This window comes from Homo sapiens, chromosome 9 (genome assembly GCF_000001405.40).
Source record: "Homo sapiens chromosome 9, GRCh38.p14 Primary Assembly".
Classification (NCBI taxonomy): domain Eukaryota; kingdom Metazoa; phylum Chordata; class Mammalia; order Primates; family Hominidae; genus Homo; species Homo sapiens.
The window spans coordinates 136,094,412-136,114,501 of NC_000009.12; the positions used below are offsets into that span (position 1 = coordinate 136,094,412).

A 20,090-nucleotide genomic window follows, 5' to 3' on the forward strand; every position below is an offset into this window, starting at 1 on the left:
CACGATCCCAGCAAGAGAAGCAGGAAACTCCGTCGGAAGGCCTCGGTCCGCCCTGGCCGTGCGGGGTGCGCGGCGGGCCCCGGGCTCCGCTGAGTTTCTTAGAGAAGGAGCTGGGGCCCCCCGACCTCAGCTCCGCAGAGGCACAGAAGCTGGCAAGAGGCAGAGCCCCCTCCCCCTGCGGCCGGACCCCAGTTTCTCCCCAGGCTGGGGCCCGAGTGGGGGAGGCGCGGGAGGCGGTGACGACCCACGAACGGGCCCACCTGGACCGGGAGGGCGAGGCGCGGGCCCGGCTGGGCCAGGCAGCTGCGCAGATGCGCCGGGAGGGGTGGGTACCTCCGCCCTGGCCCCGGGCCAGTCCTGCCCCGGCTTCCCCACCCGGAGGGCTGGATCGGCCAGTCGGGTCCCTGGGGAGGCCGCGCGGGTCCCCAGAAATCCAGGGAAACCCAGCAGGCGGCGGGGAGCGCCCCGGGACGCCCGGAGCCGGGGTCTCCCCGAACGCGCGGCGCGGCGTCCCGGCCCGGGGTCGCGGGCGCCTCCGCCGGGACCCCCCGGCCCCGCCCGGCCCCCCTCCGCGGGCTCCCGAGGCCGGTTCCCGCGCGCACGCCCGGGCCGGCGCGGAACTCGGCCGCACCCGCCCCGCGCGGCCGGCACTGCGGCAGGGGGCTCGCGCCAAGTTGGGCGGCCGCGGAGTTTGCGGGAAGTGCGGGCCCGGCCCGTGGGACGACCCCGCCCGGCGGCGTAACCCGGGGGCGGCCGCGCGCGCCAAGTTGGCGGTACCTGCGGGCGCCCGGCCCGGTCCGGCCTGGGCAGCTGCGGCGCGCCGCCCGCGGCAGGAAGTGCTTGGCGTCCCGGCGCTCCGGCTCCCATGGACTTTCTCCGACCTCGCCCAGCACCGGCGGCCGCACCGCGGCGGGGGCGGGGCGGCGGCGGGGGAGGTGCCCGCGGGCCGTTAAAGGGACAGCGCGCCGGCCGCGCGCGCGCGCGCACTGGCAGCCAGGTGGGCTCCCGGGGTCGGGGCTGGGGTCCGGGGGCCGGGAGGGTCCCCAGTGGGGGCCGGCGGGGCGTGGGGAACCCCGAGCGCTGGGGAGGGGAGGCGGCAGCTCCTCGCCCCTCGCGCGTCCTCCTTCCGGAGCTGCCGGCGGTCGACCCTGCGCGGGACACCCGGCGGGAGCCGGACGCCGCGGCGCAGAGGACGGAGCTCGGCGGCCGGGTCGGGAAAGGACCTGGAGCGCCGCCCTCCGCCCTCCCCGGGCCCCGGCCTCGGCCGGACTCGCTAAGCCCGGGAGAGCCCCCGGGCCCCCCTACCCCGCCCCCGGCGCGCGCCCTGCCCGCGGCAGTCGCGTCCGCACGGTGCAGCCTCCGGGATCCGGGCGGGGGAAGTGCGCGCATCCGCAGCCGCCCTGGACGCTCAGGCGGGCCGTGAAAGACGAGGATACGGGAGCGCCCTTGGGCGAACGTCTGCGGGGCTCCGGCGCCCGTCCCTGCGGCCCGGGAACTGCAAGCTGCCTGGACTGGGCCTGGCGCTGCCTTCAGGCCTGGTGTGATCCGGGCGCACTGGGGCGTTGACAGTCATTCCGGCACCGGCCACGCAGCTCTCCATCTGCCCAAGGCCACGCTCCTGAGGACAGAGGTGCAGTTTTAAAACAAGGGCACGGAAATAAAACGGCCACACACCCGGAAAGACCCAGAGACCCCTCCTCAGCTGCCCCCTAACCTGGGGCCTGAGGTCAGGACAGGCTGCAGTGGTCCTCAGAGGCTAAGCCAGCCTCACTCCCACAGCACGCTCAAGGGTCCTTGCAGGAGAATGGAGTGATACCGCCTCAGTGGTCCCGAGCGAGGGCGCTGGGAGAAGGGTTGAGAAGGAGATGGCCACCAGCATCCCAGAGAACGCCTTTGGGGCTCTGGGGATCAGAAACCTGGGGCTACAGCCCTTCTGGCACAGTCAGCCAAGGTCATTCCCTGGACAAATCATCAGAAGCTTGGCCAGGTTCTTGTCACCCCAACCTCAAGCTAGGCCCTTGATCTTGGCCACAGACTGGCCCTTGACCCCAACTTTAGGTTCTATTCAGCTCTGCGTCCAGAACACACACACACACACACACACACACTTCACTCCCTGGCTTGCCTTGTATGGGGGTGAGTATGGAACCCCGCAGGGACTCTGGGCTCTCCCCACAGAGTCCCATCTAGACCTAAATGCAGTCCCAGGTCCCACACCCCAACCCCCCTCCCCCCACCACTGCCACTTCCAAACCCGCCCCGCAGTCTACTGTGGGAAGGAGGTGGGGTAGGAGGGTTCTGAGTGCCTCCTACACCCAGGGCATGAGCTCAGCAGCCTCAGGGTTCTGGTGCTTCCTAGGCCTGACTTTACAATCTCTGCAGGATCTCTCAGTGAGCATAGCTACCCCAAGCCCCTGAGAATCGTGAATCCCAGAGACAGATGCCTGGAGCTGCTTCCAGCCCTGGGGCAGGCCTCAAGGGGCTACCCACTAGGACCCGTGGCCCTCCAGGGATGGGAATGATTGTTTTAATCACTTTTATTTTCTAAATATTAAAGACATTCTTCCTTAGTGAAGGATATTTGGAAAGCATTGAAAAGTGTTTAGAAGATAGCGGATAAGCAGAAATCAATTCCCCAATTTCTGTGTGCCTATACGTATGTACACCAACATATATTTGCACCTTTTAAAGCAAACCCTGCATCCCTACTGAATTCCAGGCCCGTGCTACTGAGTATGTACACCTTACCGCATTTAACGTTCACAACAGTACCATGAGGTGAGCTCTGTTTATTCCTTTTTTTTTTTTTTTTTTTGAGTCCGAGTCTCACACTGTTGCCCAGGCTGGGGTGCAGTGGCGCGATCTCAGCTCACTGTAACCTCTGCCTCCCGGGTTCAAGCGATTCTCCTGCCTCAGCCTCCCGAGTAGCTGGCATTATCGGCACGTGCCACCACGCCCAGCTAATTTTTGTATTTTTAGTAGAGACGGGGTTTCACCATGTTAGGCAGGCTGGTCTTGAACTCCTGACCTCAGGTGATCCACCTGCCTCAACCTCCCGAAGTGCTGGGATCACAGGTGTGAGCCACTGCGCCCAGCCTTATTCCCGTTTTACAGCTTAGCCTGGGGCTCACTCAGGGGTCCCCAGCAGGGCCTGGGCTGAGTGGGGCTCACCCCGGGTGCATCCTCCGCATCTCCTCCCTGCATTTGATCTTGTTGATTCCTGGCTGCTACAAGGGCCTGGGGGCCACAGTCTCAACTGAGCATAGCAGCACCGCTGCTATGGGTCTCCAGCTCAGGGAGGCCCCATCCGGGATCCAGGCCTGAGTTCTCACGGCCTTGCAACTTGATTTTTCCCCTTCCATCCAGAAAGCATTGGGCAGGGGGTAAGGGGAGGTCACAAGCCACATCTGCAGACACTGCAGAGCCCCTGGGTGCGCTCAGGAGTCATACACAGAGGACCAACCTGTTTGCCTGGACACCTGCGTGTCCTCCCCTGGATGGCAGAAGCCTTTGATGGCTCTCCAGGTGCTGCTACCATTGTGCAGGTGGTGACATCCCACCCCAATCTCACGCCAGATCCAGTCTGTGCCCATCCTAACAGCTCTGTGTTAAAGTCATGTCGGAGCCACCCTCCTGGTCCACAACTGCCCTGTTCTCCAGTGATTGCCACAGCCCCCTTCCCCACCCCGGTCCCTAGCCTCCCCTCCAGCCCTGCCCCAGCCTGTCACAACACAGCAGCACAGGGCTGCTTCTAAACCTGTTGGATTACCCCCACCCGCTCAGAACCCCCAAGAGCTCCCCAATGTCCTTCTTGCTCAGAGCACAAGCCCGGGTGATTGGGTGACCAGGACCCAGCTCACCACCCCCGCCTCATACCCCACCCCACCCATGCCCCACATCCTTCCCCACCCCACATCCCACCCGTGGTAGCCTCGTCCACGCCAGTGCCTGCTCAGCTGTAGCGAGGCTGGCTTCTGCTGTACCTGCTGCCCCAGGGCCCTTGCACCCGCTGTTCCCACTGCCTGAACCTTCTGCCCCTGTGTCTCCAAGGCTTGCTCTGTCACTTTCTTTGAGTCTCCACCCCAATATCCCTGGCTCAGGAAGCCTTCCCTGACCCTTCCTTATGAAAGAGCCACATGGCCGTCGGCAGCAGGCACCCAGACGCCATCCTGACACTGGTCCGCCCTTGGCTTCCATCGGCACGGTCTCCCACCTTGTCCACTGTCTCATCACTGGCTCAGTGTGGTGCCTGGCACACAGCAGGTGCCCTGAGGAGTCTCAGAATTGGAGCCTAGGCTCCATCTGTCTCCACCCTGTTTCCTGGGGCTGCTGGGGGATGCTGTGCCCCCTCTCCCACACCTGCCCGAGTTCTGATGCCTCTTCCCGGTCCTCAGAGTGTCCGGGGAGCTCGGTCAGCAGAAAGGGAAGTAGCAGGCGGGGGGCCTCAGGTGCCTCCCTGGTGCTGCTGTTCAGGTCAGCCCTTGGCCAGGGCTGTTGGGCTGAGAAGACCCCAGGAGGACCTGGAGCCTCTCACCAGCCCAGCACAGGCTCTCTCGGCTGTGCTTCCGGGACAGCTCCCCAGAGCCAGAGTGCGCCTCTGCACCCCTGCGGCAGGAGGACAGCCAGAGGGCTTCTCTGCCCACTCTCTCGCTTGCGTCTCGCCTGTCAACACAGAAGAGAGGTGCAGAACAGCCTTTGGTGAAACGGCCAGTGGTGCCGCTGTCTCGGGAGGAAGCCGCTTTCATTGTCTGAAGAGCAGTTCACGGGGGGCAAGAGAAACCATCTGATTTCAGTCCGGTCCTCTGCCTTCCTGGGGCAGGGCTTGCTGGTGGGGGAGGACTTTCCTGTTCACTGGGAGCCTCCGTGGTCCCCCACAGACACCCCAGTCCCAACAGAGAAGACGTGGCCAGGCCCCTGGCCTTGTAGCTTATGTGCAGCAGATGATAAAGGCCCCGTGAAGACACGTGTGCCCAGTGAGACAGCCAGAGAAGGCTGATCCTACTCGACGGATGGGCTGAGGAGGAAACGAGGGAGTGGGGGACCCTCAGGGGTCGGGGGTGACAGGAAGCCGAGCCTGCCAGGGCCTGCACCCTCACCTCCACCCAAGGGGGCCCTGTCCTGTGAAGCTGACCCAACGCCTGGCCTCAGAGGGCTTGTGGTCCAGCAGGCAGCACAGGGAAGATGTGGCAGAGGTGATGAAGAGCGGTGGTGTGTGTGCGGGGCGGCGGGTGGGGGTGGTGTGCGGGGCGGTGGGGGCGTGTGTGCGGGGTGGCGGGGGGTGTTTGTGTGGGGCGGCGGCAGGGTGGGTGCGCGGGGCGGCCGGGGCGTGTGTGCGGGTCGGCGGGGGGGGGGGGTGTGGGTTGGTGGCGGTAGGGAGGGGGGCGTGCGGGGCGGCAGGGACAGGCCCAGGGCCATGGACTCCAGACCAGAAAGGCAGAGACTGACTTGGGGTGGGCTCTTTCCTTCTTCTTTTTTTTTTTTTTTTTTTTTGCCTTTTTTTTTAAATCGAGGTGAGATTCACCTAACTGACAGCAACCACTATCAACTGAACAACTCCGTGGCATTTAGCACATTCCCGGGGCTGTGCGTCCGCCACGCCCAGCTCCCAAGCAGCCTTCGTCCCCGCGGCCGTCTCCCCTGCTTCCCAGCGCTCAGGATTTTACCAGCGGCGCCGCCTCCATACCCTGCACGAGGCCCCCTTTCTGTTTTCTGAGTGCTCGCTCCTTTCTTCCATCATAATCCATGGTTACATATCAGTGTGTCGATTTCGCTCCCATCCACCCTAGAGAGAGGCTCCAGGAAAGCCCCGGCTGCTCCCACAGGGCCCCTTGTCAGGGCCCCGCTCTGTGCCAGCCTGAGGGGGCCGAGAGCGGAGCAGCTGAGCCGGCCCTTGCGACTGGGGGCTAAGCTGGGCCCACCAGCCTCACCCTGGGCCCTGGATGCAGCCCCCATACTTGGAGTAGAAGCCAGGCCCTGTGTTTCTGCAGTTGGGGTTTTGGCTGGTACCTCCAGCGTGGGGTTCAAATTGAGCCCATTGCCCTTTTTTTTTTACTAAAAGTTTCCCAATCCTGTAGCCCCCAGGCTGCTCCAGGGGGCAGCCTCCTCCTACCGTAGGAAGTCAACCCAGGAGCCCAGGGTGGTGCCTGCTGAGTCCTGGAAGAGAGTGAGGGGCCAGGGGGCCCCAGAGCCCAGGGGACGAGAGCTGTGCACAGCAGAATGGCCCAGGACACTGCACAGGGCCTCACCCACCTGTCCACCCAGGGACCGAGGCCATACTCCAGCCAAAGCCCCACTCAGAACATCAGGTCTTGGCAGGCCCCCAGGGAGTCCACCTTGACCACCACCCCCTCGGGGTCCTGAGGCAGCTCCGGGGAAAACCACCTCCGCTTTCCTGGAGCCAGTTCCTAGAAGATGTGCAGTTTGCAAGACCAAGCCCAGCTGGCCCCGCCCCCACCACCGGCTGCACTGGGTGCGGCTCCGCCCACCTGCAGGACAATGGGGGATGCAGGCAGGTGTTTGTGACTCTGCAAGGCCCTACATCTCCCGCAGAGCTGGCTCGGGCCCCTGGTCACTCCCCCACTGCCATTTCTTTCTTTAGGACGGTTATTCTAGTGAATGGGTTCAAAGCCTGGGCCGGACTGCCCTGGGCCCTCCACCCCTTGGGGGGTCACCATCCTGTCTACGATCCTGCTGGGCAAAGGGCACTTCTATGGGCCTCAGATGCCAGGGACACTTGCCATCCTGGCGGCTCTTTTGGGTGTCCCTGCTGTGACCACCATGAAGCCGAGCGTGCTGATCCCAGCAGCTCCCGCCTCTGCCTGCTGGGCTGACCCTTTGAGGCCTGTGTCCATACCAGGCACTGGGCTGTGTGGACGGGACAGGACTAGCTCCAGGAGGCCAGAAGGACCCCGTTTGCCCTGTAGTGAAACTGTCCCTCTGTGCTCAGAGATGTCCCTCCCAGCCTGAGCTGCTGATCTCGCCCACTCTTCAGCCTTGGTCCCCCCCCCACGCTGTCTCTTGCAGTACACTGGGGCTCTCTCTGAGCTGCTGACACAGGACCTTTGCACCCGCTGACGGACACAGGGCCTTTGCACCCGCTGACGGACACAGGGCCTTTGCACCCGCTGACGGACACAGGGCCTTTGCACCCGCTGACGGACACAGGGCCTTTGCACCCGCTGACGGACACAGGGCCTTTGCACCCGCTGACGGACACAGGGCCTTTGCACCCGCTGACGGACACAGGGCCTTTGCACCCGCTGACGGACACAGGGCCTTTGCACCCGCTGACGGACACAGGGCCTTTGCACCCGCTGACGGACACAGGGCCTTTGCACCCGCTGACGGACACAGGGCCTTTGCACCCGCTGACGGACACAGGGCCTTTGCACCCGCTGACGGACACAGGGCCTTTGCACCCGCTGACGGACACAGGGCCTTTGCACCCGCTGCTCCTCTGCCAGGACCCCCATCTCCCTGCAGCAGCAGGTGAGCTCCAGCTCATCCCCAGGGCCCAACTCGGGACTTCAGGGAAGCTGTCTCTGAGCTCCGGTGGCTCTCCCAGCACGAGGCTCCCTCCTCAGGGCCCTTGATGCGGCTGAACTTACATCCCCCCACACCCCGGACGAGGAGGCACAATTTGCTGGAGGAGCCGGGAACCCGGTAGACACAGCAGAGGCCTCTGTGGGTTCCCTGAAGGGCCAGATTTGGGGTCCAGCTGGCCCAGAGGGAAAGTGGCCAGCAGGGCTGCAGGTGAGGCCCTCCGTCCCTCTGGGCTACGTGGGCGGGCCGGCACCCCTGACTCCCAGGAGTGACCAGGAAGGCATTTGGCCCCTTTCAGAACAAGTCACTGGCCCCTGCTCATCTGGGGCTCCTGTTCTAGTAGCAGGGGTGGCAGGCTGGTTAAAAAAGAAATCCAGGTCTGCCATGGAGGAGGCAGAGGTGGCGAAGGAAGAGCCTGGGCCAGGACTCCGCCTCGTTGGAGCTAGCGGCTGGAGGGGAGCCTCTGAGGTCTGGCTGCCGGGGAGAGGGCTCTATGAGACCTGCTGGGTTCCCTCCCTGGGGTCCAGTGAGGGTGGGGGCGGCGGTGGAGGGGCTGTGAAGGTGGAACCCGGAGGAATGAGGAGGGCTGGGAGGGAAGGGGAGGTGGGGAGCGTTCGGACTGAGGCCGGGCAGGTGGGCCCGTGAAGGCCACGCCGCGTCCTGGGATAGGGAAGATCGGGACGAATGGCCCGCTGCGGCCACCCAAGTAGGGAGAGGCAGTTGCTGCTGGATTCTCAAGTGTCCAGGGAGTGAGGGCCAGACTGGGCTGGGGTCGATGACGCAGGGATGGTCTCTATGGCTGGACAAGGTTACTAGGGTGTGGAAGTCACTTGGAGTAACATTTGCTCCAAATCCGCCCCCAGTTCCTGGTCCAGGCTTTTTTTTTTTTTTGAGACGGAGTCTCGCTCTGTCACCCAGGCTGGAGTGCAGTGACGCGATCTCGACTCACTGCAAGCTCCGCCTCCCGGGTTCATGGCATTCTCCTGCCTTAGTCTCCCAAGTAGCTGGGACCACAGGCGCCCGCCACTACGCCCGGCTAATTTTTTTTTTTTTTTTTTTTTAGTAGAGACGGGGTTTCGCCATTCAGAGGATGATCTCTATCTCCTGACCTTGTGATCCGCCCACCTCAGCCTCCCAAAGTGCTGGGATTACAGGCTGAGCCACCGCGCCCGGCCATTTTTTTGTATTTTTAGTAGAGACGGGGTTTCACCGTGTTAGCCAGGATGGTCTTGATCTCCTGACCTCGTGATCCGCCTGCCTCGGCCTCCCAAAGTGCTGGGATTACAGGCGTGAGCCACCGCGCCGGACCCTGGTCCTGTCTTAATCTCTAGCGTCTGGCCACAGCTGCCTCCCCCTCCTCCACCTTCTTCCAGTGGCCCTGGAGCCTCGCTGCTCTCCTGGGCTTTCGTGCCTCCTGGATGCTCTGCCTACCCTCCGTCCCTCGAGACCCCCAGGGCAGAGCAGCTGCCTCTAAGAGAGGTGGAGCCATTGGAATCACAAGGTCCCGGGGCCAGACCTGCTGAATCGGAATCTCAGGCGACCAGTGTGCAGGCTGGAGTCCACGATGGAATCTGGGGGGCAGCCCCTGAGGGCTGGGGGGCAGCCCATCCTCTGCTCCAAGCTGCAGGTCCTGGGACCTGCTGGTGCCTGTGGAACTGGCTCAGGATCTGGCCCTGGGAGGAAAGGGAGGCTCTTGGTCATCCGAAGGTGCCATGGTGTGAGGGTGAGTGAGGGAGAAGAGCATCCCAGGGCGGCGGAGGTGGCGGGAAGGTCCCCACCATGAGAAGAGGGACGTGGCACGTGGGGCCCCTCCGGGCCGGGGGTGCAGACGGTGCAGCACAGGTGCCAGCAGAGCCCTTTCCTCCAGGTGCCCACAGTCAGGCCACACTCCACCTGTCCACCCTGGCGCACCCCAGTGGGATGAATGCCGCCCCCACACCCCGTGCATAGGGGCCTCCGGGGCGGGGAGGAGTCCCTGAGGTGTCCACGCTGCACCCCTGGCCTCCTGCCAGCCAGCCTCATGGCCGTGTGTCTGCTGGGGTTCAGGGAACTCGGAAGGGCTGGAGGGGAGGCCAAGGTCCCAGGAATGCACCCCAGAGCAATCCGGAGTGCCTCTGTGCAGTGGAGGGATGGGGAAGCGGGGCGTCGCCAGGGACTTGGGCTTCAATTCCCTAGTAACAACGATGGGCCAGGAAGCCACCCTGCTGAGCGCCTGCCCGGACGCTGGGCTCGGCGCACTGCCCTGCTGCTGCTAGAGCAGCCCCTGAGCCCCCAGCAAGTGCAGCCAAACACTGCCCGTTTCTGTGACCTTCATGCCGGATGCCCAGGAATGTGATCTCAGGAGAGAGAGAGCACTGGTGTCCCACCCCACCCTGCAGGTCGCCCCCCCCTCCACCCCTGCAGCCTGCCCATGCAAGCCCAGGGCTTCTCCAGATACAGAGAGCTCACCTGGCTCCGGGCAGGGCGTGCCAGCAGGTGTGCAGGTGCACAGCCATCTGGAGGTGGCTGCTCCGTGACAGAACGGCCCCTGCTTTAGTGTCCATGGGGGAGGGTGTTTCCTGGTGCTTCTTACATACAAGCTGAAGGACGGAACAGGCAGCTGAAGATCACATAAACCACCTCACTTCCAAAAACCCTGGGCAGAGCACATTTGCTTTTATTATGCTAATTCACCTTACCAGGACCAGGGCAGGAATGCCTGTCCATTTCAAGTCCTGCTATGCTCAAGCACTAGTCTGTAACTGAAGCATGCATTTGCTTCAGAGATTCCTAAATCCCCCCAAGAAAGCAGCATCTGGGTGGGCCTGCAGCTCTGCCCCACTGAGAGGGTCTCACTTTCCTCAGTTTCTCCGGCCCTGGCCTATTGTCATTTGGTAGACCCCACTCCACTAGAGGCTAAGCCAGGGCCCAGTACAGTGGATCTGGCCGATGGTGCCAGCACACCTGCACTGCGGGGGTCAAAGGGGACCCTGGCAGCTCAGATGCTGGGTGCATGGTGGGGTGGGTGGGGAGTGCTCACTGGCTTACAGACCAACCCGGCAGGCAGGCCCAGTGTGCTCCTGAGGGCAGAGCCAGGGTTCCCAAACCATTGGCCTCCCTTGTTTTGCTTTTCCCCTCGTCTCTGTGGTCCTGTGGTTAAAGTGAGGACTGGGTGCCCTCATCTCGCAGCTGGAAGTTGCTGAAGGCTGGTCTGGAGATAAGAGACCTGCTCATCTGGCCCCATACCGAAAGCCCCACACGGAAAGCCCCCGTCTCTGGGCAGCCTCTGCTTCCCTGGGACCATCTTCTCCAGTGGACAGCAAGAGCCAAGGGACACAGCAGAGTTGACCAGCCAAGGGGGCCACACCCCTGTCCCCAGGAGGAAGCACCATTGCAGATGCTGACCCGAAAGCAAGAGTGTTGTGCCCCAGGCCCAGGAAGGCTGGGGTCAGACCCTGCTGTCCAGTCCCTGCACAGCCTTAGGCTGGGCCAGTTGGTCCAGGGAGAGCAGAGAGCAGGGAGGGAGCTGGGGGGAGCTGCCTGCACAGTTGGATGTGGCTCCTTCCCGGCCACTTCTCAGCCTTGCTCTGGCCTGCCACAGCGGTGCCCACAGAGTCTTGGCGGAAAGAACAGAACATCCCATGGCTCTGAGCCAGGTCCCTGGAAGGATGGTGACCTGGGGCATCTGCTGTGCCCTTGGCCAGCTGGCATGGGCACGGAGCGGGCTGCATCATCCCCTGGGGAGGAGGTCGGCTCCCGCAGGGCCTGGGACATCTGTGGGCATCTTGTCAGGCAACTTTGGGTCTCTTTTGCAGAAGAAAACTGGGTGAGTATTTTGGTTCTTGTCAGCGGTTGCAGAGCCCGTGCCTCCCTCTGCTCCTGAATTAGGGCAGTGCCGTTTTGGGTTCCGTATGCCCTCCCTCGGTTTAAATTGGATGCTCTAATCGTCTTCCTCTTTTGTCCTAAATTTCCCTCTAATGTTTTATGCAGCTGTAAAGCAGCTGCTGCCTCCTGCTCCAGAGAAGGCTGAGGGTCGGGCGGCTGCAGTGACTCACCTCCTCCCGGGAGGCACGGCAGAGCCCCTTGGCCAAGTCAGGCTCAGGGGACAGCCACTGTCCTTTGCAGGAAACATGTGAGAGCTGGGCTTGGGAAAGCCTTTGGCAGCATCTAGAGGCTCCCAGATAGGACAGACAGAAGGACTTTAAGGGGTCAGATTCCAAACAGCAGGGCTGCTTTTCCGGGGTGTATTGGGGGGGCCGGGGGGTAGTTGGCTTTTTTGTTTGTTTGTTTTTGAGATGGAGTCTTGCTCTGTCCCCCGGGCTGGAATGCAGTGGTGAGATCTCGGCTCACTGCAACCTCCACCTCCCAGATTCAAGCGATTCTCCTGCCTCACCCTCCCGAGTAGCTGGGATTACAGGCGCCTGCCACCACGCCCAGCTAATTTTTGTATTTTTAGTAGATTCGGGGTTTCACCATGTTGGCCAGGCTGGTCTCGAACTCCGGACCTCAAGTGATCCGCCCACCTCGGCCTCCCAAAGTGCTGGGATTACAGGTGTGAGCCACCGTGCCCAGCCTGGGAGTGGGGTTAGTTCTAAGTTGGTGAGAGGCAAGCACAGCTCTCGAGGGACATCCTGCCCGGAAGACGTACTCGTGGGGGCCTCAGCTGGCCCTTGGCACAGTCATTCAGAAAGTGAATGTGAAGGCTTGCTCTGCACCCAGCCCCAGGAACCCGTGGGGCAGCAACCTGTTCTTTTGTTTGTTCGTGTTAGGCTCGGAGCTCCCAGAGAGGGTCTAGCATCCTTCTACAGACCGACCCCTGGAGACAGCCCCCACCAGGATACATCCTTGAGAATAAGCCCCAGGAAAGGGTTTGGGCCACAAATGGCCTTGTCTTCCTGGCCCAAGGTCATCAGATCTGCCTCAGGCAGGGCCTGCAGCCAGCCCCCGGCACCTTCCCTTGAGGAGAGGGTCTGCCCAGTTTTGGTGGAAGGAACAGGGCACCAGCCTCCAGTGCTGCTTCTGCAATCCCATGGCCCCGACCCAGGCCCCAACCCAGGCCCTGGTAAGACGGTGACCCAGGGAATCTGGAGCTCCCTGGCCCACTGCGGCAGCCGTGCCACAGGTGACATCGTGAGCCCCGCCCCCCCGCCCCCCGCCCTGAGTCCAACCCCAGCCCTGGTTCCTTCTCCCTGAACTTCCCACCTGGGGACAGAATGCGGGCCTAGGGCTTTCCCTGGGGGTGACCTGAGAACAGCTAGTCCAGCACCTCACCTCACTGCACGCTGTAGGCCCAGCCTCCCTGGGTTCCCGCCCCCTTATCTCACAGGAAGAGCTGGGCCTGGAGAGGGGCAGATGGCTGCACAGCCTCACGAGGGGCCGGGGAGCCGCACCTCTTCCTGCCAATCAGCCCAGCAACCGGCGACCCCAAGCGCGGCGACCGCAAAGGGAGTGCTTGCCCATCCGCGTTTGAAAGCAGACTTTTTCTCGGCAGGAACACAGGACTCACCTGCCAGTGGCTACCCAGGCAGGGGCTTCCCTGTTCCTCAAGGGGCCGGAGTCCCTCCGTTCTTTGGGGGACCATCTGAGGGAGCACGGGAAGGAGCCATGGATGTGGAGGGCGGCAGAGCCAGGACGTGAGACACGACAGCAGAAAACACTTGGGCACACAAATGCCACACCCCCACACGCACATACGTGCACACATACATGTGCCAGGCACGCACCCCAGCCAGGTGGAGGAGGGTGGGGGTCAAACCAGGCTGCACCGAGCACAGGTGGTGGCTGAGTTCCGGTTGGCCCAGCTCCAGGCTGTGGGGAGAAGAGAGATGGCGGCATTCTTTCGGACGCTTTTATCCACTATGGGAGCAGGAAGACAGCCAGGGTTATCACAGCACAATTTGAAAAACATACAAATAATTCATGTCAGCATAACGTCATGGTGTTGTCAATAATGAATCCACACTTAAAACCCAGATTGATAGCTTCAAAGGGCAGCCCCCACCCCTGGACAGGTAGGCAGGGCGCAGAGCCAGCCCCTCTTGGTTCTGAGAAGCAAACTCGGAAGCAGTTCAGGTCAGAGGAGTCCAGGGACCGCCCTTGCTGGGAGGAAATGGGTGCAGTGCGGCCCAGCGCAGTGAGCGGGGCCAAGGGTCTAGCAGCACTCGAGTTCTGCCCAAAGACGAGAGAGAGGGTGCCGGCCTACGTGCGCCCGCTGGGAAGAACTGGAAATCCATGTGCTCCCGTTCTGCGAATCCCTTCACCAGGGCGTCGGCCACCGGAGTGGGAAAAAACCTCTCCCGGCGTGAGAGCTGGGGGCAGGCCCAAGGTGCTAGGGGCTCCCGGGAGGACTGGCCATGGCCACCCAGCATCCCTGTGCCTGGCCTGGGCCTCGGTGGCCAGTCCTCCTCGGCTGCAGACCCCAGTGAGGACAGGGACCTCACCACCCACTGCCTGGCTTCTGAGGCAGCAGTGCCCCCATTAAACCTGAGATGAACTTCTCTGGGTCTTTCAGGAAGGAGCCCCGCCCCAGCATCTGGGCTCCCAGGACGAGGGCAGTCACTAAGTGGTGATGTCATGTCACTCATCGGCCTCTTCTGCCTGTGGCCATACAACAGGCCCAGGCCTGTCCCATCCCGAGGGAGGCAGATCCTGGCTGGAGCTGGCGGAGACTTACGGCCACACCCTGCCAAGGTGTGCCCACTGGGACCCGGGCCCAGCCTGTCACGGCGCCTCTCCCTGTGCCATCCGCCAGCCCAGGCTTGATTGAGCTCCATATGAATATTCATACAGCATTCTGCTGGGACCGTCGTTAATATTCTGAGGAAGCGGCAAGAATGCCCGTCCCCATGTCGTGAGCCATGGTCAACGTGCTGCTGACACGATGGTGGCTGTGGATTTTTCGGATGCAATTGTCAGGCCTCCAGGCTCAGGAGGGTGGAGGCAGCACCGCCATCTCCAGGCCCCACCAGCACCCATCCTCTGACCACGGACCTCCCAGGCACCCCACCTGCCCCCTGGCCTTTGCCTACCACCGTGTCCTTACCTGACCCAACCTCGACCAAATGCCCCTCTTCCTCACCGCTCCTGCCCCTGCTTCTCCTCCTCAGCCCTGACCCCTCTGCCCTCCCCGCCCTGCCTCCTGCCCCTGCTTCTCCTCCTCAGCCCTGACCCCTCTCCCCTCCCCGCCCTGCATTTACCCCACGCCCACAGCCCTCACAGGGCGGGGACACCGAGGTTCTCCCATAAATTAACCAAGCCCCTTTACGAAGCCCCTTCCCAAATAGAGCCGGCGCCCTCCTCCCCTGGGCCCGGGTCACCGCTGGGTCAGCGCCTACCGGCTCCCCAGGCCTGCCCCATGCCCTCAGCTAGAGGCAAACCCAAGCTCATGGGCGCAGCGAAGCTGGCAGGAGGGGCCCTGGGGGCTGTGGCTCACCCCTGCATGGCCCTCCTGCTGCCCTGAGAGCCCCTTGGCTCCGGCTGTCCCCATTAGTCGGGTAGGACTCTTGGGCCCCGCCCCACCTGCCCCTTCCAGTCTCCGCCCAGGTCAGGACGGCAGGTGGCCCCAGCAGGGCTGGCCTGAGATGGAGGAACGCGGCCCCGACCCGGGCTATGGGGAGACTCTGGATGTGGCGGTGGATCCGCTGACGGGGCTTTGGGATGTGATTATTTCCTGGGGGCTGACGGTAGCCCAGGAGCACCAAGACCCAGCTCTGCCTTCCGCCTCCCACGGGGCCTCTCCTCTGCAGGAGGCCATACAAGGACTGCACGGAAGGGGAGCGGCCCCGCAGGGAGGGGGCGCCTGGCAGCCCGCCCGCCGCAGCAGCCTGCAACCCCGCCCCCAGGCGCAGTGCGCGCCACAGCAGCCCTGCCAGAGCCCGTGTGACACAGCTGCCGGCATGCCCGGGCACGCTGCCCAGCTGGGCTGGGGGAGGGGCGCCGGGCCAGGAGCCGCTGAATCAGCTGCACCCGGACGGCCCCGCCTGGGCAAGGATGCTGGTGCGGCGGGGCGCTCTCTCTTTTGGGAACCGTCAGGAGGCGCGCCAGGCGGTGGGGTGGGGGGTGTTTCTGGACTGCGGCCTCTGCAGCCTGCTGCATGGGAAGTGCGGCTCACCGGGGCTGGGTGCAGGGCAGCCCCCGCCTCCGAGGGCATGAGCGGAGGCCTGCAGGGAGGGCCTGGGCAGAGAGGGGCCCTTTCCAAAGGAGACCCATAAGGAAGAAGAGAAACGCACTGGCCTCTGCAGATCGAAGCACGTTTGTCTCCCCCAGAAAACGCTGAATCAGCACTCACAGCACTGCCAGGGCCCGCGCCCTCCTCCGATCGCACGCTGGAGGGGACAGGCCCTTCCAAGATCACGGAGCATCAATATCACCATCGACGCAGCGGCACCGGGGGAGTCATGCTCTGGTCTGGAGTGGGGGCCGCGCCTGGCCCTGCCGTCCTTCCTGCTGGGGGCTGTGTTTGGAGCCGGGCACCTTCCCCCTCAGCCCCTGCTGTCCTGTCCTGCCCCCTGCGGAGGGGCGGGAGGTGGAGGACATTCCTGTGTGTGTGCGTTTGGGGTGGTTTTGCCTGTGGAGGCTGCACATGGGGGCTCTGACGGGGCAGCCTTCCGAGGCCACCCTGTGCTGGGGATGGGACAGCACGTGGCCCATCTTGACCGAGCATCTTAGATCTTGAAATCCCCAGCACCACCCCCTTCCAGCCACTGCCTGCCCTCTGCTGGCTCCTCAGCTTGGATTCCACTTTTCAGCAACAGAGACCCCCGGTCTGGTGCCCAAGCTGGTGTCCCCGTGTGGTGGACGACGGGGAAAGGGGGGCTCTGGGAGCCACTCGGCACAATCCCCCTGGGCCAGGCACAGACTGAAAATCAGACCCCACTAAGTCAACAGCCCCGGGCTGGCTTTGGTGGCTTCCTCCACACCCCGCGCCCGGCTGTGACTTCCTGACTCAGCACTCTGTTCAGCCTGAGATGGAGCCGCTCCCCACCTCCAGGCCTCCCTCCCACCCGTCTCCACCCAGGGGCCGCCCTCCCCAGAGCCCCTCTGATTCCTCCCTCCCCGGCCCGCCCAGCTCCCCCTCAGCTTCGCGCCTGCCTTGGGCTGGACACCTTCTCTGTGGTCCAGGCTCAGGGATTGGTCCAGGGCCGCCCACCCTCCCCCATCCCCCAGGCCGAACACTGACCTCTGGTGCCAGGCTCCTCACTGCCAAACCCATGACTCCCAAACCCACTGCTGTCACTGGGGGCCTCTCATCCAGCCAGCGCCGGGCAGCTCTGATTCCAGAACCTTCCCGGCACGTTCCTGACCTCCAGGCCAGTCTGCAGCTACCTCCACTTCCCACCGTCCCCAGGAGCAGCCAGCGGCCCTCCCTGCCCACACCTGTCCTTCCCAGCTCACTCAGGTCCGGCCGCCACCCTGAGTCCCCGGGGCCACTTCCCTCCTTCGCAGGCAACCGAGGCCACTTGCAGTGGGAGGGGAACCGCTGTATGGACCAGCCGCCTCGTAAGGATGGATCCTGTCTCCTAACCGGCTCCCAACTCCCTCCGAAGCGGCTGCGCGCTGCCTGAGATCTCTGCAGGAAGCCGCAGCGGCCACATGCTTAGGTTCTGTCTCAACACCTTCCCAGTCCTCGACTCCTCACCACTGCTGGAAGCTTCTGGAAGCCTCCAGGCCTGCAGGTCACTCCTGTGTTTTCAGACATGTGGAGCCCACCACCAGCAAATCAGGCTGTTCTAAATGTGACGTGTCCGTGGAAAGCGCTGGTCCCCCAGCAGTGGTCCTGGCACGTCTCCCCACCCAGCAGAAACACAGCTGCTGCTGGGAGGGCCCAGGAGGCCCAAGACAGACAGCCCCAGACATACAGCACCATCGGCGGTCCCTGGAGATCCCTCTCTGGGTGGCACCCTTACCAGTCACTGCAGCATGGTCTGGTCTGGGTGTCTGTCACTGTGGACAAAGGGCCTGGGGACAACCTCCAAGTAGCTCCGGCCTTCCTTGGAGCCGTGGCCCTTGCACAGCTCAGCCGGTCATCTGGGACCTCAAGGGGAGAACAACTTTGAAAACAGAACCTGTCAAACAGGGGAAACGCCTGGTTAATACAGCCCGAGGATGGCAGGTCTGCTGGGGAGCGGTCGTAAGCAGCTCCACCGCCCCTCAGATCCCCCACAGGGCTCTTCAGCCCCCCCCAGAGGAGCCGGGTTAGCGGGGCTCCCGCAAGGAACACACTGTGGCCATGGGGAAGCTCCTTGGCTCTTGGAGCCTGTGACATGCCTCTGCCCGGGGAATGGCCTGAGCCTAGGAGGTCGAGGCTGCAGTGAGCCGTGATCGTGGCCACTGCAGCTTTGGCAACAGAGCGAGACCCCATCTCTGAAAAAAAATAAAAAATGGAAAAACGGAAAGAAAAAAAAAAGCCCTTGTTATAATCCAGCTGAGTGGCTCCTTCTGTGGGAACTGCTTCCTTGGGTCTGATGAGACATTCAGTGGTCACTGTGGCGCCTGTCCCTGTACTCAGTGGTCCCATGGGCTGGTGGCTCCTGTACACGACAGTGTGGATGAGGCGTTGCCACTGTCGCGGGGAGTTCTATCAGATGGAGATGGCCCAGGCAGGGAACAGCAGAAAACATGCCAAATCCACTGAAAACCAGAGTGAAGCCAGGCGGGGAAGGCCAGGGAAGCCCCCAGGGAAGGCAGGAGCCCTTGTGCAGCCTCTCTGGTGTGGTGCGTGGCCGGGTGTGACCACAGTCAAAGGCATAGCCACCTTCGCCCACACCTGGCAAAACAACAAGACCAGGCAGCTCTCCCAGGCCGAGCCTCAGACGGCCCGTTTGCTAACTGCCCCGGCTTTGTGTGCACAGGTAAGGCTGCGTGTCCAGGCCCTGAGCCCACCTCAGGACTCGGCTGTGGCCTGGCACCCCCTGTGGGGCACACAGAGCCCCCAGACCTTCGGATCAGAAGGCTGGTCTGGGAAGCAGTGCTCCACACCAAGCTTCAGCCCTAGGTTTGGTAAAACAAGTGTCACCCTCCTAAGCTTTTCAGGGGCAAACATTTTTGTAAGGATTTCACAAACTCTGCCATCAAAAACAAAACCCCAGCAGTTTGGTGAAACAGTTCCACAAAACTCTACAATGGATAGGTTGTTACGTAATGGAATCCAGAGTTTTCCTTTATTTTCTTGAGAAGGGGTCTTGCTCTGTCACCAAGGGTGGAGCAGTGACAAAATCATGGTTCACTGTAGCCTCAACCCCTCCCCGGCCTGGGCTCAAACAATCCTGCCCACTCAGCCTCCGGAGTAGCTGGAACTAGAGGTGAGCACCACTACACCTGACTCATTTGAAAATATTTTTTTGTAGAGATGGGGTCTCCCTGCTGCCCAGGCTGATCTGGAACTCCTGGGTTCAAGCGACCCTCCCGCCTTGGCCTCCCAAAGTGTTGGAATTACAGGTGTGAGCCACTGCACCCGGCTGGTTTCCCTTTAAGTGACACTTTCTTGCCATAATGACTGCCTGGGAGGAAATCGTTGTCATCTTCACGTTGTTAGAAGCCTTTGCAAGTGAAAAAATGAGAAACGTGAACTTCCTCCCTTCACAGAAACTAAGAAAGCCTTTACAAAGCAAAGATTCTACAATAGTATGAATAGTATGTCTCTCGATCTTCAAACTTTTTTTTTTTTTTTTTGAGACAGAGTCTCACTCTGTCACCAGGCTGGAGTGCAGTGGTGCAATCACGGCTCACTGCAGCCTCGATCTCGTAGGCGCACACCACCACGGCCAGCTCATTTTTAAATTTTCTGTAGAGATGGGGTCTCACTATGTTGCCCAGGCTGGTCTTGAACTCCTGGGCTCAAGTGATCCTCCTGCCTTGGCTTCCCAAAGTGCTGGGATTACAGGCGTGAGCCACTGCACCTGGCCTCAAACGGTTTTTTTGGATAAATAAGAACTTTGGTTTTATTTTTCTTCCAACCTTTTTTCGTGTGTGCGCATCTTCCCGAGGTGGATCGGGCTGTCCTTACTCACAGCCCTGAGGCCTCTTTCCTTTCAGCAGCGTCGGAAACACCACCTCAGCTTTAAGACTCTGAACTAGGCTGGGTGGAGGGGCTCACGCCTGGAATCCCAGCACTTTGGGAGGCTGAGGCAGGTGAATCACCTGAGGTCAGGAGTTCAAGACCAGCCCGGCCAACATGGCGCAACTCCATCTCTACTAAAAATACAAAAATGATCCGGGCGTGGTGGTGGGCGCCTGTAATCCCAGCTACTTGGGAGGCTGAGACACAAGAATCACTTGAACCCGGGAGGTGGAGGTTGCAGTGAGCTGAGATCGTGTCAATGCACTCCAGCCCGGCTGACATGAGCAAAACTCCATCTGAAAAAAAAAAAAAAAACTCTGAACGGGCCAGTCAGCCGAATGCAACCTCCACCGGCCTGCACAGCAGTGTCCCGGTGACTGCCCTGCTGACAAATCTTTGCCTGTCAGCTAGGCTATCTCCCCAGGGCAGCTTCCCATAAGGAGAACCCTGGCCTCAGGGGCTCCTTCCCCAGCACGGCAACAAGTGTTTGGGAAAACTTTCCCATCTTACA

The 20,090-nt window shown here is 62.2% G+C and overlaps 1 protein-coding gene and 1 long non-coding RNA gene across 2 annotated transcripts in view, besides 13 other annotated features; both read right to left on the reverse strand.

The window, feature by feature from the left end:
* NACC2 (NACC family member 2) overlaps positions 1-878 on the reverse strand; it is an 88,753-nt gene extending 87,875 nt beyond the window's left edge. The window contains exon 1 of the mRNA NM_144653.5: positions 778-878. The gene's annotated coding sequence lies outside the window, so the exon portion shown is untranslated. The remainder of the gene's footprint in view (positions 1-777) is intronic.
* Positions 791-920: a silencer, noted in NCBI's record as "silent region_20495". NCBI's record gives its function as "represses an Ori minimal core promoter by ATAC-STARR-seq in GM12878 lymphoblastoid cells {active_cell/tissue: GM12878}" and the evidence as "EXISTENCE:reporter gene assay evidence [ECO:0000049][PMID:35858748]".
* Positions 1,241-1,340: a silencer, noted in NCBI's record as "silent region_20496". NCBI's record gives its function as "represses an Ori minimal core promoter by ATAC-STARR-seq in GM12878 lymphoblastoid cells {active_cell/tissue: GM12878}" and the evidence as "EXISTENCE:reporter gene assay evidence [ECO:0000049][PMID:35858748]".
* Positions 8,782-9,481: an enhancer, noted in NCBI's record as "H3K27ac-H3K4me1 hESC enhancer chr9:138995039-138995738 (GRCh37/hg19 assembly coordinates)". NCBI's record gives its function as "activates a minimal SCP1, AML or CMV promoter by ChIP-STARR-seq in naive H9 embryonic stem cells {active_cell/tissue: H9 hESC(naive)}" and the evidence as "EXISTENCE:reporter gene assay evidence [ECO:0000049][PMID:30033119]".
* Positions 12,352-12,401: an enhancer, noted in NCBI's record as "active region_29296". NCBI's record gives its function as "activates an Ori minimal core promoter by ATAC-STARR-seq in GM12878 lymphoblastoid cells {active_cell/tissue: GM12878}" and the evidence as "EXISTENCE:reporter gene assay evidence [ECO:0000049][PMID:35858748]".
* Positions 12,712-12,811: a silencer, noted in NCBI's record as "silent region_20497". NCBI's record gives its function as "represses an Ori minimal core promoter by ATAC-STARR-seq in GM12878 lymphoblastoid cells {active_cell/tissue: GM12878}" and the evidence as "EXISTENCE:reporter gene assay evidence [ECO:0000049][PMID:35858748]".
* On the reverse strand, positions 13,438-15,025 carry LINC02846 (long intergenic non-protein coding RNA 2846). The gene is made up of 2 exons (NR_189286.1): positions 14,954-15,025; positions 13,438-14,408 (listed from the first exon to the last, which is right to left on the reverse strand). It is a non-coding gene; the product is annotated as a long intergenic non-protein coding RNA 2846 (long non-coding RNA).
* Positions 13,675-14,287: an enhancer, noted in NCBI's record as "H3K27ac-H3K4me1 hESC enhancer chr9:138999932-139000544 (GRCh37/hg19 assembly coordinates)". NCBI's record gives its function as "activates a minimal SCP1, AML or CMV promoter by ChIP-STARR-seq in naive H9 embryonic stem cells {active_cell/tissue: H9 hESC(naive)}" and the evidence as "EXISTENCE:reporter gene assay evidence [ECO:0000049][PMID:30033119]".
* Positions 14,899-15,511: an enhancer, noted in NCBI's record as "H3K27ac-H3K4me1 hESC enhancer chr9:139001156-139001768 (GRCh37/hg19 assembly coordinates)". NCBI's record gives its function as "activates a minimal SCP1, AML or CMV promoter by ChIP-STARR-seq in primed H9 embryonic stem cells {active_cell/tissue: H9 hESC(primed)}" and the evidence as "EXISTENCE:reporter gene assay evidence [ECO:0000049][PMID:30033119]".
* Positions 15,140-15,189: an enhancer, noted in NCBI's record as "active region_29297". NCBI's record gives its function as "activates an Ori minimal core promoter by ATAC-STARR-seq in GM12878 lymphoblastoid cells {active_cell/tissue: GM12878}" and the evidence as "EXISTENCE:reporter gene assay evidence [ECO:0000049][PMID:35858748]".
* Positions 15,220-15,409: a silencer, noted in NCBI's record as "silent region_20498". NCBI's record gives its function as "represses an Ori minimal core promoter by ATAC-STARR-seq in GM12878 lymphoblastoid cells {active_cell/tissue: GM12878}" and the evidence as "EXISTENCE:reporter gene assay evidence [ECO:0000049][PMID:35858748]".
* Positions 15,512-16,123: an enhancer, noted in NCBI's record as "H3K27ac-H3K4me1 hESC enhancer chr9:139001769-139002380 (GRCh37/hg19 assembly coordinates)". NCBI's record gives its function as "activates a minimal SCP1, AML or CMV promoter by ChIP-STARR-seq in primed H9 embryonic stem cells {active_cell/tissue: H9 hESC(primed)}" and the evidence as "EXISTENCE:reporter gene assay evidence [ECO:0000049][PMID:30033119]".
* Positions 15,700-15,809: an enhancer, noted in NCBI's record as "active region_29298". NCBI's record gives its function as "activates an Ori minimal core promoter by ATAC-STARR-seq in GM12878 lymphoblastoid cells {active_cell/tissue: GM12878}" and the evidence as "EXISTENCE:reporter gene assay evidence [ECO:0000049][PMID:35858748]".
* Positions 16,124-16,735: an enhancer, noted in NCBI's record as "H3K27ac-H3K4me1 hESC enhancer chr9:139002381-139002992 (GRCh37/hg19 assembly coordinates)". NCBI's record gives its function as "activates a minimal SCP1, AML or CMV promoter by ChIP-STARR-seq in naive and primed H9 embryonic stem cells {active_cell/tissue: H9 hESC(naive and primed)}" and the evidence as "EXISTENCE:reporter gene assay evidence [ECO:0000049][PMID:30033119]".
* Positions 16,210-16,329: an enhancer, noted in NCBI's record as "active region_29299". NCBI's record gives its function as "activates an Ori minimal core promoter by ATAC-STARR-seq in GM12878 lymphoblastoid cells {active_cell/tissue: GM12878}" and the evidence as "EXISTENCE:reporter gene assay evidence [ECO:0000049][PMID:35858748]".